This window comes from Homo sapiens, chromosome 1 (genome assembly GCF_000001405.40).
Source record: "Homo sapiens chromosome 1, GRCh38.p14 Primary Assembly".
Taxonomy (NCBI): Eukaryota; Metazoa; Chordata; class Mammalia; order Primates; family Hominidae; genus Homo; species Homo sapiens.
This window is the reverse complement of record NC_000001.11, coordinates 212,747,395-212,761,118: the sequence shown is the minus strand read 5'-3', so window position 1 is coordinate 212,761,118 and position 13,724 is coordinate 212,747,395. Positions and strand designations below refer to the sequence as shown.

Genomic DNA, 13,724 nt, shown 5'->3' with positions numbered 1-13,724 from the left:
ATTGGCTTTCATAGGAAAAGACTTTTGCCTGTAGTTGTATCTATAATATTGATTGGGTAGGGTGCTTTAGCTTTGATTCCGGGTGTGTGCAATAGTATAGTCTCTGCATGATTTCTTTGGGTGTAATCAGTGTCAGTGATGTTTGTGAGTTCCTTAGTGACTTACGCTATGGTTGGTACTAGAGGGTATGATAGGTCTTTACTTGGGATGGGGACTCCAGGCAGGCCTGTTCTTGGGCCCCACTGGTGGTGATGGCATGCCAAATACATCCATTTTTGGTTCCCTTGGCAGTGTACACAGATACTAGTGTTATCAGGTCCAGGCAGACCAATTCTTGGGCCTCCAGGTGGCTTGCTCAGGTACCAGCAGTGACAGCAATGGGATGGGCAGGCAGGTGGTTTCATGAGTCCCTGGGCAGTATGCGTGGTGTTGGTGATGGCAGTAGCAGTGGCGGGTCAACCGTCAGGCCCCCAGGCAGCAAGCACAGGCGGCAGTGGTGGTGGCAATGGACTGGGCTGGCCAGTCCCCCCAGAGCACATTTAGGGGGGTCCTGGCGGTGATGGTGGTGGTGATGATAGGCTAGTCAGGCCCGTCCTCAAGCCCTGGGGAGGAGTGTGTGGATGCCGGCAGTAGTGGCCAGTGGGGTGAACCTCAGGACCTCAAACGGTATGCTCAGGCACCCGCAGTATGTTGGCTGGGCCTGTTATCAGGCCCCTTGATGGCTGAGTGTGTGCACCTGCCCACAGCAACAGACAGAATGAGGCTATTCCTGGGCCCCTAGATGGCGCTCTCAGACACTGGTGTGGTAGAGTGGTGCAGAGCAGGGTGGGCCTGATCTTAGCCTCCTGATGGTGTGCCTAAAGTTGTGGTGGGCAGGGCAGGGCTATCCCTTTGCCCTTGGTTAGTGTGCTCAGGTACCAGTGGCCCACAGGCTGGACCTGCTGTTAAGCTCCCTTATGGTGTGTGTGTGTGTGTGCCCCAGAAGCAGCTGGCGGGGCAGGTCAATCCCCAGGCCCTGGACAGTATGATTGGGCACTGGCGATGGTCTGTTGTCTTGGTGGTCTGTTGTCTTGATGTGCTCACACACCCACCATGACAGATAGGGCAGGGTGATTATCAGGATCCCAGGACAGCATCTGGGTGGGCCTGTCCCTAGGCACACTAAAGGCACATGCCAGTGCGCAGTAGCCTTGCTGCTGGGTGGCCCCAGGGAAATGGCTCTCAGGCTCTGAGGAGTGTGCGCTTCAGCTCCCTCTGTCCCACGGGCAGCCTCCCTGGTGCACTGCACTGCTGGTTCCTTGGGGTGTAGGACACTGTGTAGGCTAGAGTGCCGGGGACCTGGTTTTACTATTGGGTTCAGTCAGTGTTGTGCCACTGCAGCTCTCCAGGTGGATGCAGTGGGGATGTCAGCAAGGCTCCAGGGATGTGGAGATGTAGGGGCTTTTGGGCCCTAGGGAAGGATACAGTCTGGTGGGGGTTGAATTCTCAAAATGGTGCTATGCTGCGGTGTCTTGGGCCTTGGGGGTATGTGAGGTACCCAGTGCTATCTCTCTGGAATTAATGTTGTATGGACTCCAGACAGCTCCCTATACTAGTCTTAGGGCCTGCAGGGGCCAAGGGGCTCTCCTGTGGTTAGTACTGCAGGATTCTGCAGTAGAAATGTGGGATCTCTCATTTACATTTTCCCTGCTTCCCTTTCTTCCCATGCCTCAGTTGTTCCCTGTCACTGTTCTGCTGAATTCCACTGTTTTTTCTTGGATGCTGTCTTTGACATGTGATTATCTACCCACTGTTTAGTCCTTCTTTGTGGAGGAGGCAGGTGCCAGGTGCCCCTAGTCAGCCATCTTGAAGCCCCCTCCCCATCTCACTTTCTTGATGATGTTCTTTGAAGCACAGAAATTTTAAATTTGGCAAAATCTAATTTACCTATTTTTTTTTCCTTTGGTTGCTTTGGTTTTAGTTTTATATTTTAGAAACTGTTGTCTAATATAAAAGTATAAAGATTTATGCTTGCCTTTCTCCTAAGAGTTTTCCACCTTCATTCTTTTGTATGTATATATCCAGTTGTTTTAAGCACCATTTGTTGAAAATGCTTGAATGGTGTTGGAATCTGTGTCAGAAATCAGTTGACTGTAATATGTAGATTTCTTTCTGAACTCTCAATTCTGTTTCATTGATCTTTGTCTGTCCTTAGGCCACTACTACACTGTCTTGATTATTATAGCTTTGTAAGAAATTTTGAAATCAGAAAGTATGAGTCTTCCAACCTTGTTCTTCTTTTTCAAGGTTGTTTTGGCTCTTCTGATCCCTTACATTCAAATTCCATATGAATTTTGGGATCAGTCAGTCAATTTCTGTCAAGAAGTCAGCTGGGATTTTGGTAGGAATTGTGTTGAAATTGTAGATCACTTTGAGAGTAATGCTATCTTAATGTTAAGTTTTCTGATCCCTGAATAATGGATGGCTTTCCATCTGGAAATTGATTTATTTCAACAGTGTTTTCCAGCTTTTAGCACTTCTTTTGTGAAACTTATTCCTAAATACTTTATTCTTTTGATGCCCTTGTAAATTGAATTATTTTTAAATTTTATTTTTGGTTTCTTCTTTGCTACTGTGTAGAGATAGAATTAATTTTTGTATATTAATCTTGTATCTTACAACCATGTTAAACTCATTTATTAGTTCTAATAGTTGTTTAATGGATGTTTTAAAGGATTTTATATATAAAAGATCATGTCATCTGCAAACAGATATTTTACTTCTTTTCTTTCTAATCTGGATGCCTGACATTCATTGTTGATGAGCAGTGTCTTGAGAATCTGATTACCATTCCTTTATAGATATTGTTCTTTCTCTTCTGACTTTTCGGATTTTCTCTATATTCTTAATGCTCTGAAGTTTACCACAGTATAGCTAGATGTTTATTTTCTAGTATGGTGTTTGATATGTACATTTTCTGATTTATTTCACACTGAAAATAATATTATTGCTTTTTCTTGCTTGTATGAACAATACATGCACATTCCAAAAATGTTAGAAGCATAAGAAACAAGTTTAAATCACATGAAATCATATGCCCAGAGATAAACACTATTAGCATGTTTATGACCAGTAACCAGTATTATGATATATTGCATGATGCCTGTACATCCTCAGTCCATCAGTAGATCCTGCTGCCTTTACCTTGGAAACATATTTCAAATCCTGCTGCTTACCAACCAAATCTGTCTCTCCTGCTCTTATCCATGTCACCATATTCGCTTAGGACCACTATAATAGCTTTCTCACTGATTAATATGGTTTGGATGTTTTGTTCCTTCTAAATCTCATGGTTGAAATGGGACCTTCAATGTTGTAGATGGACCTAGTGCAAGGTGTCTGGGTCTTGGGGGCAGATCCCTCATCCGTGGCTTGGTGCCCTCCTTGTGGTAATGAGTGAGCTCTCCCTCTGAATTCACCTGAGAGCTGGTTGTTTTAAAGACTGTGGCACCTCCCCACATCCACATCCTTGCTCCATCTCTTGCCATGGATGTACCGTTCCTCCTTTGGCTTCCATCATGATTGAAAGCTCACTGAGGCCCTACCAGAAGCTGAGCAAATGTTGGTGCTATGCTTGTACAGCCTGCCGAACTGTGAGCCAATTAAACCTCTTTTCTTTATAAATTACCCAGTCTTACATATTCCTTTATAGTAATAAAACAGACTAACACCCTGGTCTCCTTCCATCCAGTTCTACTTTTCACACAGCATCCAAACAATTTCTTTTAAAGCATAATCAGATTATGTCACTCCCTGTTGAAGGCCCTCCAGTGGCTCCCCATTATAATTCCTTTGGTCTAAGAGGCCCTCAATGATATGGTCCCCGGCTGCTTCTCTGATCTCATCTCTGACAGTGTTCACTTACCATCTCACCCTCGCTTACTGTGCTCCACTAACACTAATATTCTTGCTATTTCAGGACATACCAAGAACACACTGGCCCTACGACTTTCATACTCGCAACTCCCTGTATTTGAAACTGCTCTCCGAAACTACCTGCCTGACTCTTGCACTTCATTCAGCTCTCTGTTCAAAGTGTCACTTCATCTGATACACCTTACAACCTGTGTCAGATTCTCTTATGACTCCCTTGATCATACTGTATCCCTTTAACCTGCTTTATTTTTCTCTGCCACTTACAGATATTATATAATTTCTCCTTATTTTCCTCTTCCCTCCCCACAGTATTGTAAGCTCCCTGTGAGCAAGAACTTTGGGATGCCCAGTTTTCCCTCTTTTTTCTTTTCTTTTCTTTTTTTTGAGACGGAGCCTTGCTCTGTCGCCCAGGCTGGAATGCAGTGGCACGCTCTCAGCTCACTGCAACCTCCACCTCCCAGGTTCAAGTGATTCTCCTGCCTCAGCCTCTAGACTAGCTGGGATTACAGGCACCCGCCATCACACCTGGCTAACTTTTGCATATTTAATAGAGACAAGGTTTCACCATATTGGCCAGGCTGGTTTCAAAGTCTTGAACTCGGGTGATCCTCCCACCTCGGCCTCCCAAAGTTCTGGGATTACAGGCATGAGCCACTGCGCCCAGCCCCTGACTCTTAAGATTATTTTCTGACATGGTACACTCAATAAATATTTATATTTTTGCAAACAATACATAATTTTATATAAATAGGATTGAATTACATATTACATTGTCCCTTTTAAAAACCAAAGTCGGCCGGATGCAGTGGCTCACACCTGTAAGCCCAGCACTTTGGGAAGCTGATCGCTTGAGCACAGGAGTTTGAGACCAGCTAGGGCAACATGGCAAAACCCCGTCTCTACAAAAAATACAAAAATTAGCCAAGCATGGTGGTGCATGCCTGTAGTTCCAGCTACTCGGGAAGCTGCAGAGGGAGGATCATTTGAACCCAGGAGGTCAAGGCTGCAGTGAGCTATGGTCCTGCCACTACACTCCAGCCTGAGTGACAGAGTGAGAACCTGTCTCAAAAAAACCCAACAAGGATAGCATTGTATTTTTACTTTTTGTTTTTGGTTTCTTCTCTCTCTTCCTGTCACCCCTTTAGATATCCAACATTAACCTGGTATGAATTCATTTATCCTTTTTTCTGTGCTTATATAATTGTTACAGGAATAAATATGCACTGGACATTTTGGGGGCATAATTTACAGAAAATTTATTCATGTGTTCAAATTATCTGCAATTTCCTAGCTTAAGTTTATGGTAGACATCCTCCATTCGACTGCCGTAGCTCTAACCTTATTGTTTTAAATTGTGGTTATCTTTTAAATTGTATTTCTTGTGCTTTTAATAAATGCAAGCTTAATGTAAAATTTTTAATAATTACATATAGATATATATGAAAATATATACATATTCATATTTATATGAAATATACCATAACTTCGCCTCCCAATCTGTCACATCCCACACATCTTCAAATAGGCAACTATTATCAGTTTGCTGTGTCTAATTTTAGATCTTTATCAATGCATTTGTATGCACATAGGTAGACACAGGGGTTTTTTTAGTTGTTTATATAAATATTACATAATGCATTTTATTCTGTCATTGTTTTTCTTTTTTCACTCAACATGTAACATAGTTCAACTCCATGGTTTTTATTGGTAATTTTTTTCTTGCTTATATACACAGAGACAATTTTATTTAAATAATATTATATATGTATTTTTGTTTTTTGTGAGAGATTATTTGGTTTTGCTAGATTCCTCTTTTCTCCCATCTTCCATTAACATCTCCATATATACTTTTATCTGAGGACTCCTATATTCTAGAAAATCTTTAACCTAATCCTTCAACTTTGCTTCTTTCTCATTTCTTCTATTTTTGTATTTTATGTTTTTATTTTATAACCTATTTTTCTTTTGCAATGTCTTATGATTTTCTTTAGCTATTGGAGCTGTGTAGCATTTTAAAGTCATTTTTATATTGCTCTATTTTCATTTCATCTGCAGTAAATTCCTCTCCCTGACATTGGTTATACTGGCTGTCTTTCATGGTTTTAATTTCTTCATGTATTTTAGACTTTTGATTTGCAAGTGCTTCTTGACTAGAATTTTTCATGTGCATATCTGTCTACCACTGCTTTCACTCCCTCTGTCTAGTAGGTTTGGTTGCCTTCCATCTGGCCCCAAACAATCCCAGGCTGGAGCCATATCTTAACACTGGCAACAGAGGGCCTCTGTCCCAGTGTGACACTGGAGATTGGTCCAGGCCCAGGCTTGGAGGCATTATCTGCTTCCCATCATTTCTGGTTTAGCTTTAAGTAAGCTTTGCTTCCTGGCAGCGGTTAGGAGCAGTTTTGTCTTTTGAGTTGGTTTTTTTTTTTTTTTTGAGACAGAATTTTACTCTTGTTGCCCAGGCTGGAATGTAATGGTTGCTCACTGCAACCTCTGCCTCCTGGGTTCAAGTGATTCTCCTGCCTCATCCTCCTGAGTAGCTGGGATTACAGGTGCCCACCACCACGCCCGGATAATTTTTGTATTTTTAGTAGAGGCGGGGTTTCACCATGTTGGCCAGGCTAGTCTCCAACTCCTGACCTCACGTGATCCACCCATCTCAGCCTCCTTAAGTGCTGGGATTACAGGTGTGAGCCACCGCGCCGGGCTGGTTAGTGGCAGTTTTTTTCAGCCACCTTTTCAGGGTGGGTAAACTCTGTCTCAGCCCTCGGTTTCAAACAGTGAAGCTGTCTCTTCGTTTCCTGTTCTTCTGGAGCACTTCGAACACCTTTTATCTTGCAGGAGGCCAATTCCTGGCTACTTCTGCTTACCGGTAGGCCTGCAGCTTTAGCCTGACTTGCAGCTTTTTCTCTTCTCCTTTTTTTCTGGTTCATTGAAATGTTTTATTTTGTATATGCTTTAGGATATGTCATTTTAATTTTCTATATTCACTGATGCTTTTGGACATAGGAAGGGAGTTTTATGCACTACTGAAATCAACTTGACTAGGAAGTCTTAGGATACTTTTAAAAATGCAAATCAGTTTTCAGTCCTCTGCTTAAAATCCTAAACTCTAGACTTTTAGCATTCCCTTAGGTGATCTGGCCCCTACCTACCTCTCCAGATTTATTTCAGGCACTTTCCTGTTTGCTGCCAGTCTTTCAGTTCTTTGAAAGTGCCTCACTGTCACACATGCATGCCCCCTTGCCCAAGTTTGACATCTTCCCAGTTCTCTTTTCTCATTTAAATGTTACCTCCTCAGAGAGATCTTACCTAACCACCCTCATTAAAATACTCTCCCCAGTTGTTTATCATGACACCTGTTTATTTCCTTAATAGTACTTGTTACAGCTTATAAGTATTTGTGTTTATTTTCTTGTTTATGCTCTCTCACAAAACTGAAAGCTCCATGAGTTTTTTAATATTATATTTACATTATATATAGCCAGCATATAGCAGCATGCCCAATAAATACATCATGAGTGACTGTTACTCATTGGTCCATTCAGTTGTATATATTGAATGGCTACAGTATGACAGAACTGTTCTCAATGTGGCAGATGTAATATTAGTGAGCAGCACAAAGTTCTTACTCTATAGAGTTTATATTTTAGTGGGAGAAGAAAAGTAATAAATATAAAAATAAATAAGTGACATCAGTGCTTTAGGGTGGTGTGTTTAGGTGATGGGGAAACACTTTTCTGAGGTAGTAACAGGAAGGAATTTATCTGGTGATGATCAAGAAAAAGAGCTGTCAAGCAGAGGGAAGAGCTAGAATAAAGTTCTTAAATCAAGAATGAGCTTGAGTATTCATGGAACAAAAGACCAGAGAGGCTGTAGTGAAGTGAGTAATAGAGGGAAGAAGCATTGCAAGACAATGTCAAAAACTTGGCTGAGGCCAGATAATAACGAGCGAGGGTCAGGAGTTTGAAAGTGTGCCTTAAGAGAGGTGCAACATGGTACTGAAGGAGGTGGTGAGGTGTAGGTGGGAAGGTGTGCTGCAGAGGATTTCATCTACTGAGCAAATGGGTTCAACACATCTCTATAAATTGTAGCAAAGGGTTATCTTTCAGAAAATCACAAATCACTGCTGTGTTTTTGGTTTCATTTTCACCAGGGATGCTGCTTTCTAATTCTTGGTTCTAATGGCTTAATTACCTCTTTAGAAACCAGTAGAAGCCACACATCTGATGCTGTGCGTGATTGCTTGTTTATATTCATAAAATACATTGGAAATAGAAAGGAAGTACTCACTTAGTGCTTTTTTTTTTTTTTGCTGAATTTCTGAATTTGGGCAGGCTTTTGGAAGTTCATGTTTCCTAGTTTAGTCAGTACAGTGACCTGAAAGCAAAACTAGGTTGATTACTCAATCTTTCATTTCCACTTTTTCATTTCCCTGTGTTTTAGAAAGCAAGTGACTAGGGAAGGCAGTGTTCTCAAGGATGCCTAACTTCCACATTTTTAAGAGCAAACTCTTTTTAAAAATATCCTTATAGCAATCTACTGATGAGCTGTCCACCAATAAGATGTGGTCTCATTTGACATTTACAACCTTTTATAATCCTGTTGTAATGAATAATTGCTTCCATATTGCCTTTTTTTAAAAGTTCTTTGAAATTAACTGAAGATCCCTTTTTTCCCTGTCCTTCGCTAAACATGTAGCGATGGCAAGGAGCTATTTTAAGTTTCTGTATGGTAAACTTAATGATACTTCCAGTTCTTTTGCTGACCCTACAGGCAGAGGACTCAGAGGCAGTTCCGCTTCTTTCCTAATAATGCTGTCTTGCTTAAGCCACTGTCACAATATTTACAGGTAGCCACTCACAAATAGTTACACTTTAAAAATTCATGTAAGTCTGAGTTTTGGAATTTGAAATACACTTCCCACTGGGAAAAAAATGTATAAATAAATAAATAAATATGTTTCTAGGCAACCCTTTACAGGCTTATTAAACCTTAATCTATAATGTAGCTGAAATACTATACATTTATGATGAAAAAATTAGGAAAATCATATTTCAGATGCATATTAGTTCCACTATATGACATTTAAGTAGGATTTTATATGGAATAGTTTGGCTCCTTTAACACCATTGTTGGTGGTGAGAAGGGTAAGTAGTGGTGTCACGAGGTTCTAGAGAGAAGACATTGAGAATGGTCCTCGAGAAAGCCCATCCCATCTCCTGTGTGGCATGGACCAGCCATCTGCATGTGAGACAGTCTTAAGTCACATACTTGTATATCAGGAGTATTGTATGATCTTACTAGTTGCAAAATGTGAAAAAATTCATTTAGAATAATCTTGAGTGAGGGAGTGAAAAGTATATATATTTTGAAATTTCCTAAGCAGATATTGTTGGAAAAATGCCTTTTTCATGCATTTACAGATAATATATTCATATATTTAGTGACCATTTTTAGTTGTGTTTTCCTTCTTTTGTCTTTAAAAAAAATGGTTTTATTAATTATTGGTGCTACTTAGTTTTAAATGTAAAGGACTTAATTCATTTAAAAAGAAAAAAAGGTACCATAAAGTTAATAGTTTAAACATTTAATTCTATAATTGTTCTAGAGTTTTAATGTTTTAGTTCTTTACCAGGCACAATTATTTCAAGAGATTTTCATTATGTTGAAGCTAACTTTTTACCATTAGTTAACTTATATTCTTATGAGGACAGTATAATTCCTGACAAAGCAGTATTTTGGAAAGTTATAGAATGTAGAAGAGTGTGTGCTTTGGATTCTAGGAGGGAGATGTGAGTTCTTATTCAAGTCTAGATACATTTCTCAGCTTCTGTTTCTTTACCTACAAAAGGAGGCTGATGAAACCCACTTGCCTCCCAGGGTTGCTAAAATTGCATAAGATTGATTGAGAATGTATGTCAGCCCATACTACTATAGGAATGGGCTGTCCATGGAACAGGTAGGGAAAGTTTTCATGCCATTGTGTTTTTCTTCCTTGTACCCTTCTTCCTTTTATAACTAAGTTTCTCAAATGAATAATCTATACTCAGTAGCTTCACTTTTAATCTTTCATTCTTGTAAAAAAAATCAATAGTATTTCATATTTGTATTTTTATGACTATGTAAGTGTTCTTCAATCTGAGTCAGGTAATTATTATTTTGTTCCTGAGTCAGATAATTATTACTACGAGTATATTCTTTCTTGAATAGCTTTCTACCCCTTTTGGAACAATAATTGCTTTATTATTATTTTTTTTCGTTTGAGGCAGTCTTGCTCTGTGACTCTGGCTGGAGTGCAGTGGCGCTATCTCGGCTCACTGCAACCTCTGCCTCTCAGGTTCAAGCCATCCTCCCACCTCAGCCTCCCTAGTAGCTGGGATTACAGGCGCCCGCCACCATGCCCGGCTAATTTTTTGTATTTTTAGTAGAGACAGGGTTTCACCATGTTAGCCAGGCTAGTCTCGAACTCCTGACCTCAGGTGATTTACCTGCCTCTGCCTCCCAAAGTGCTGGGATTACAGGTGTGGCTCACCATACCTGGCCTATTTTTCTGTTTGCTTTGTTTTCTGTTGTGTCTAACAGAACTGTAAAATTCATCTCAATATGGCAAACACTTAAGGTTATCTCTCAGATCCATTTTTAAACTTTATCTTTTCCTCGGAGATACTTCTCTGGGAACCTTCTGTCCTCCTATTCCAGTCTGGACTGGCTGCTGTCTAGGCCTGGTGCAAAATTTTCATCCTGCCTGTTCCTTTCATCATCGTCCTGGGAATTTCCCTTCCTTCTCTCATGTTTTAAATCGTGTTTCCTGGTTCCTGTTTTCTACTCTTTCTTGATTTATTCTCTTGTCTTTGATGTATCACATCCTCTACCACCCACCTCCTCCCAGCTCACCTAGCCCCAAATCCTCTATTAAGGCAACTTTCTTACATCACCTGTGAAGATTTCCCTCTCCCTTCGGTTCCCTTGTTAGATTGATCTCACCCTCCTTTGTGCCTCCATGGCACCCTCTATCATAGCCTTGGTCCATCATGACTACTGAACACCTACTGTACACGTTAGGCACTCTGTTCAACATTAGGGATTCTGAGATTAAAAGAATGTGTTTCCTGTTCCCAAGGGAGTTCTGGAAGCTAAATGAGAATGCCAGGGTTCTCACTGGGGTTAGTACTGCCCTCTAGTGGACCCTTTGAAAAAGTGAAAGAAAGTTTTTGGTTGCCATATTAATGGGAAAGTGTAGCTGGCACTTTGTAGTCAGGGGCCAGGCATACTAGATGTCTCATATGTCCAGCACAACTTTAGGATATCTCACTAGACATTCATTTGTTAAAATATGTTTATAATTATTCAGCCTAGGACCTAATTCCATTTTACACACAAACCCAAACTACTCTTAGCACTTTTTACATTGTCATTGCTTGTGCAACCGATAGAAAACAGCTGTTGTTCAGCAATGTGAGTTTAGAGACAAATTTCTTTTTAAGGTAGCATGAGATATTTTAAGAATTCTTTATATTGGTCATTGATGGCGCTTAGTCTCTAAGAATCCTAGTGAGAGGCTTCACAAATCAGTGAATATGGTTATCAGTGCTGTTAATTAAAAAATAAAGTGTAGGCTGGGCATAGTGGCTCACACCTGTAATCCCATCACTTTGGGAGGCTAAGGCAGGAAGACTGCTTGAGTCCAGGAGTTTGAGGCTGCAGTGAGCTATGATCGTGCCACTGCACTCCGGCCTGGGTGACAGAGTGAGATGCTTGAGCCCAGGAGTTTGAGGCTGCACTGAGCAGTGATCACATCACTGTACTCCAGCCTGGGTGACAGATCGAGACCCTGTCTCAAAAAAAAAAAAAAAAAAAAAAACACAATAAAACGCAAAATCCCTTAAGTGATGGATTATTTTGTAAAGTTTGTAATGTAAACAATATAATAACAATGAAGAAGAATATGATTTTACCTTACCCTATTCATAAAAGATAACTTTTCATATTAAATGTTAATAAATATTTTGTTCATTATTGTATGTGTGTGTGCACATATATTGCAGTATAACATATAATGCACAGCTTTATGAATTTATTTACATGCATACACCTACACACATGTAACTGCCACCATGATCTAGAAATAGAATATCTGCATAGTTGGAAAATATAGGATAAACTTATTTTTAAACAGTATATTGATTATATTTTTTTAATACTGTGCCTATTATGTTTTCATGTATACAATAAATACAATTCAGAGTGTCCAAAAAACCTGGAAGCATAAAGAAAACAGTGCGTTTATTGTATTTTTAAAAATATTCACAATTGGGGCCACTGCTTTAAATTTAGAAGTGTTTTACTTGGAAAAATATATTGAGGTTGAAGAAAAAGATATTGAACATATTATTTGAAAATGTAACTAGCACATATTTATCCTGTTCCCCAGCCTTATGGATACCCTGTATAACATTTCCAGTACCCCAAAATGTTTCCCATACCCCTTTTTAGTCATTATACCATTTCTATCAGGTATAACCACTATTCTGACTTACATCATCATAGATTTTTGTCTTTTCTTGAACTTCATGTAAATGGAATCATATAGTATGCATTCTTGTGTTACCTTCTTTAAATTGGTGTTATTCCTATGAGATTCATCCACGTTTTGAATGTAGCAGAAGTTCTTTGTTATTGTTGTGTAGTATTCCATTGTGTGTCTACAGACAATTTATCTCTTCTGTTGTTACTTGATTTGTTTCCAGATTTTGGCTATATGAATAAAGCTACTATGAACATTCTTATACCACATTTATACTCATCTCTCGTAGATATATATCTAGAAATAGAATTTTTGGGTCACATGTAGGCATATGTTTGGCTTTTATAGCTATTACTAAAAAGTTTTCTGAAGTGGTTATTTCAATTTATACTTCTAACAGCAGGTATGATAGTTACAGTTGTTCCATATCCCTAACAACAATTCATAGTGTTACTAGATTACATAATATTTATTCAATCAGTGATAAGTAAAAAGTTAACAGATATTATCATATCATTAAATATATTTGAAACTGCAAGAAGATGACATAAATCACATTAAAGTGAAGGAATTATAGTATTTATCTACAATCATATATTATTTGAAAGTAAGGCTGGTCACAGTGGCTCATACCTGTAATCCCAGCACTTTGGGAGGCCAAGGTGGAAGGATCACTTGGGGTTGGGAGTTCGAGACCAGCCTGACCAACACGGTGAAACCCCATCTCTACCAAAAAATGCAAAAATTAGCCAGGCCTGGTGGCACATGCCTGTAGTCCCAGCTACTCAGGAGGCTGAGATATGACAATCACTTGAACCAGGAGGCAGAGGTTGCAGTGAGCCGAGATCACACCACTGCACTCCAGCCTGGGTGACAGAGTGAGACCCTGTGTCAAAAAAAGAAAAAAGAAAATAAATCTCACTAGGAATTTTATTTCTACCTAAGATAAGCCTAAATTTATTCCTTTGAAAATATATTGCTCTCATGTTGTATTAGTTATCTATTGCTGCCTAACAAATTATCCCAAAGTTTAGCTGCTTAAAACAATAAATGTGTTATCTCTTACTGTTTCTGAGGGTCATTAATCTGATAGCAGCTTAGCTGGGTAGTTCTAGCATAGGGCTCTCACAAGGTTGTAGTCAAGATGTCATTTGGAGCTGCAGTTATCTTTCAGGGCTCACCTGGGACTGTGGGAAATCCACTTTCAAACTCACTCACATAGTTGTTGGCAGTACAGCCCTGGCTGGTGTGTTAGAGACTTTAGTTCCTTACAACGTGGGCC

At 39.8% G+C, this 13,724-nt stretch overlaps 1 protein-coding gene across 5 annotated transcripts in view, besides 2 other annotated features; it reads left to right on the top strand.

Moving 5' to 3' along the window:
• NSL1 (NSL1 component of MIS12 kinetochore complex) overlaps positions 1-13,724 on the top strand; it is a 65,625-nt gene that overhangs the window by 30,659 nt on the left and 21,242 nt on the right. The gene's annotated exons all lie outside the window — the stretch shown is intronic.
• Positions 17-865: an enhancer, noted in NCBI's record as "H3K27ac-H3K4me1 hESC enhancer chr1:212933596-212934444 (GRCh37/hg19 assembly coordinates)". NCBI's record gives its function as "activates a minimal SCP1, AML or CMV promoter by ChIP-STARR-seq in naive H9 embryonic stem cells {active_cell/tissue: H9 hESC(naive)}" and the evidence as "EXISTENCE:reporter gene assay evidence [ECO:0000049][PMID:30033119]".
• Positions 866-1,715: an enhancer, noted in NCBI's record as "H3K27ac-H3K4me1 hESC enhancer chr1:212932746-212933595 (GRCh37/hg19 assembly coordinates)". NCBI's record gives its function as "activates a minimal SCP1, AML or CMV promoter by ChIP-STARR-seq in naive H9 embryonic stem cells {active_cell/tissue: H9 hESC(naive)}" and the evidence as "EXISTENCE:reporter gene assay evidence [ECO:0000049][PMID:30033119]".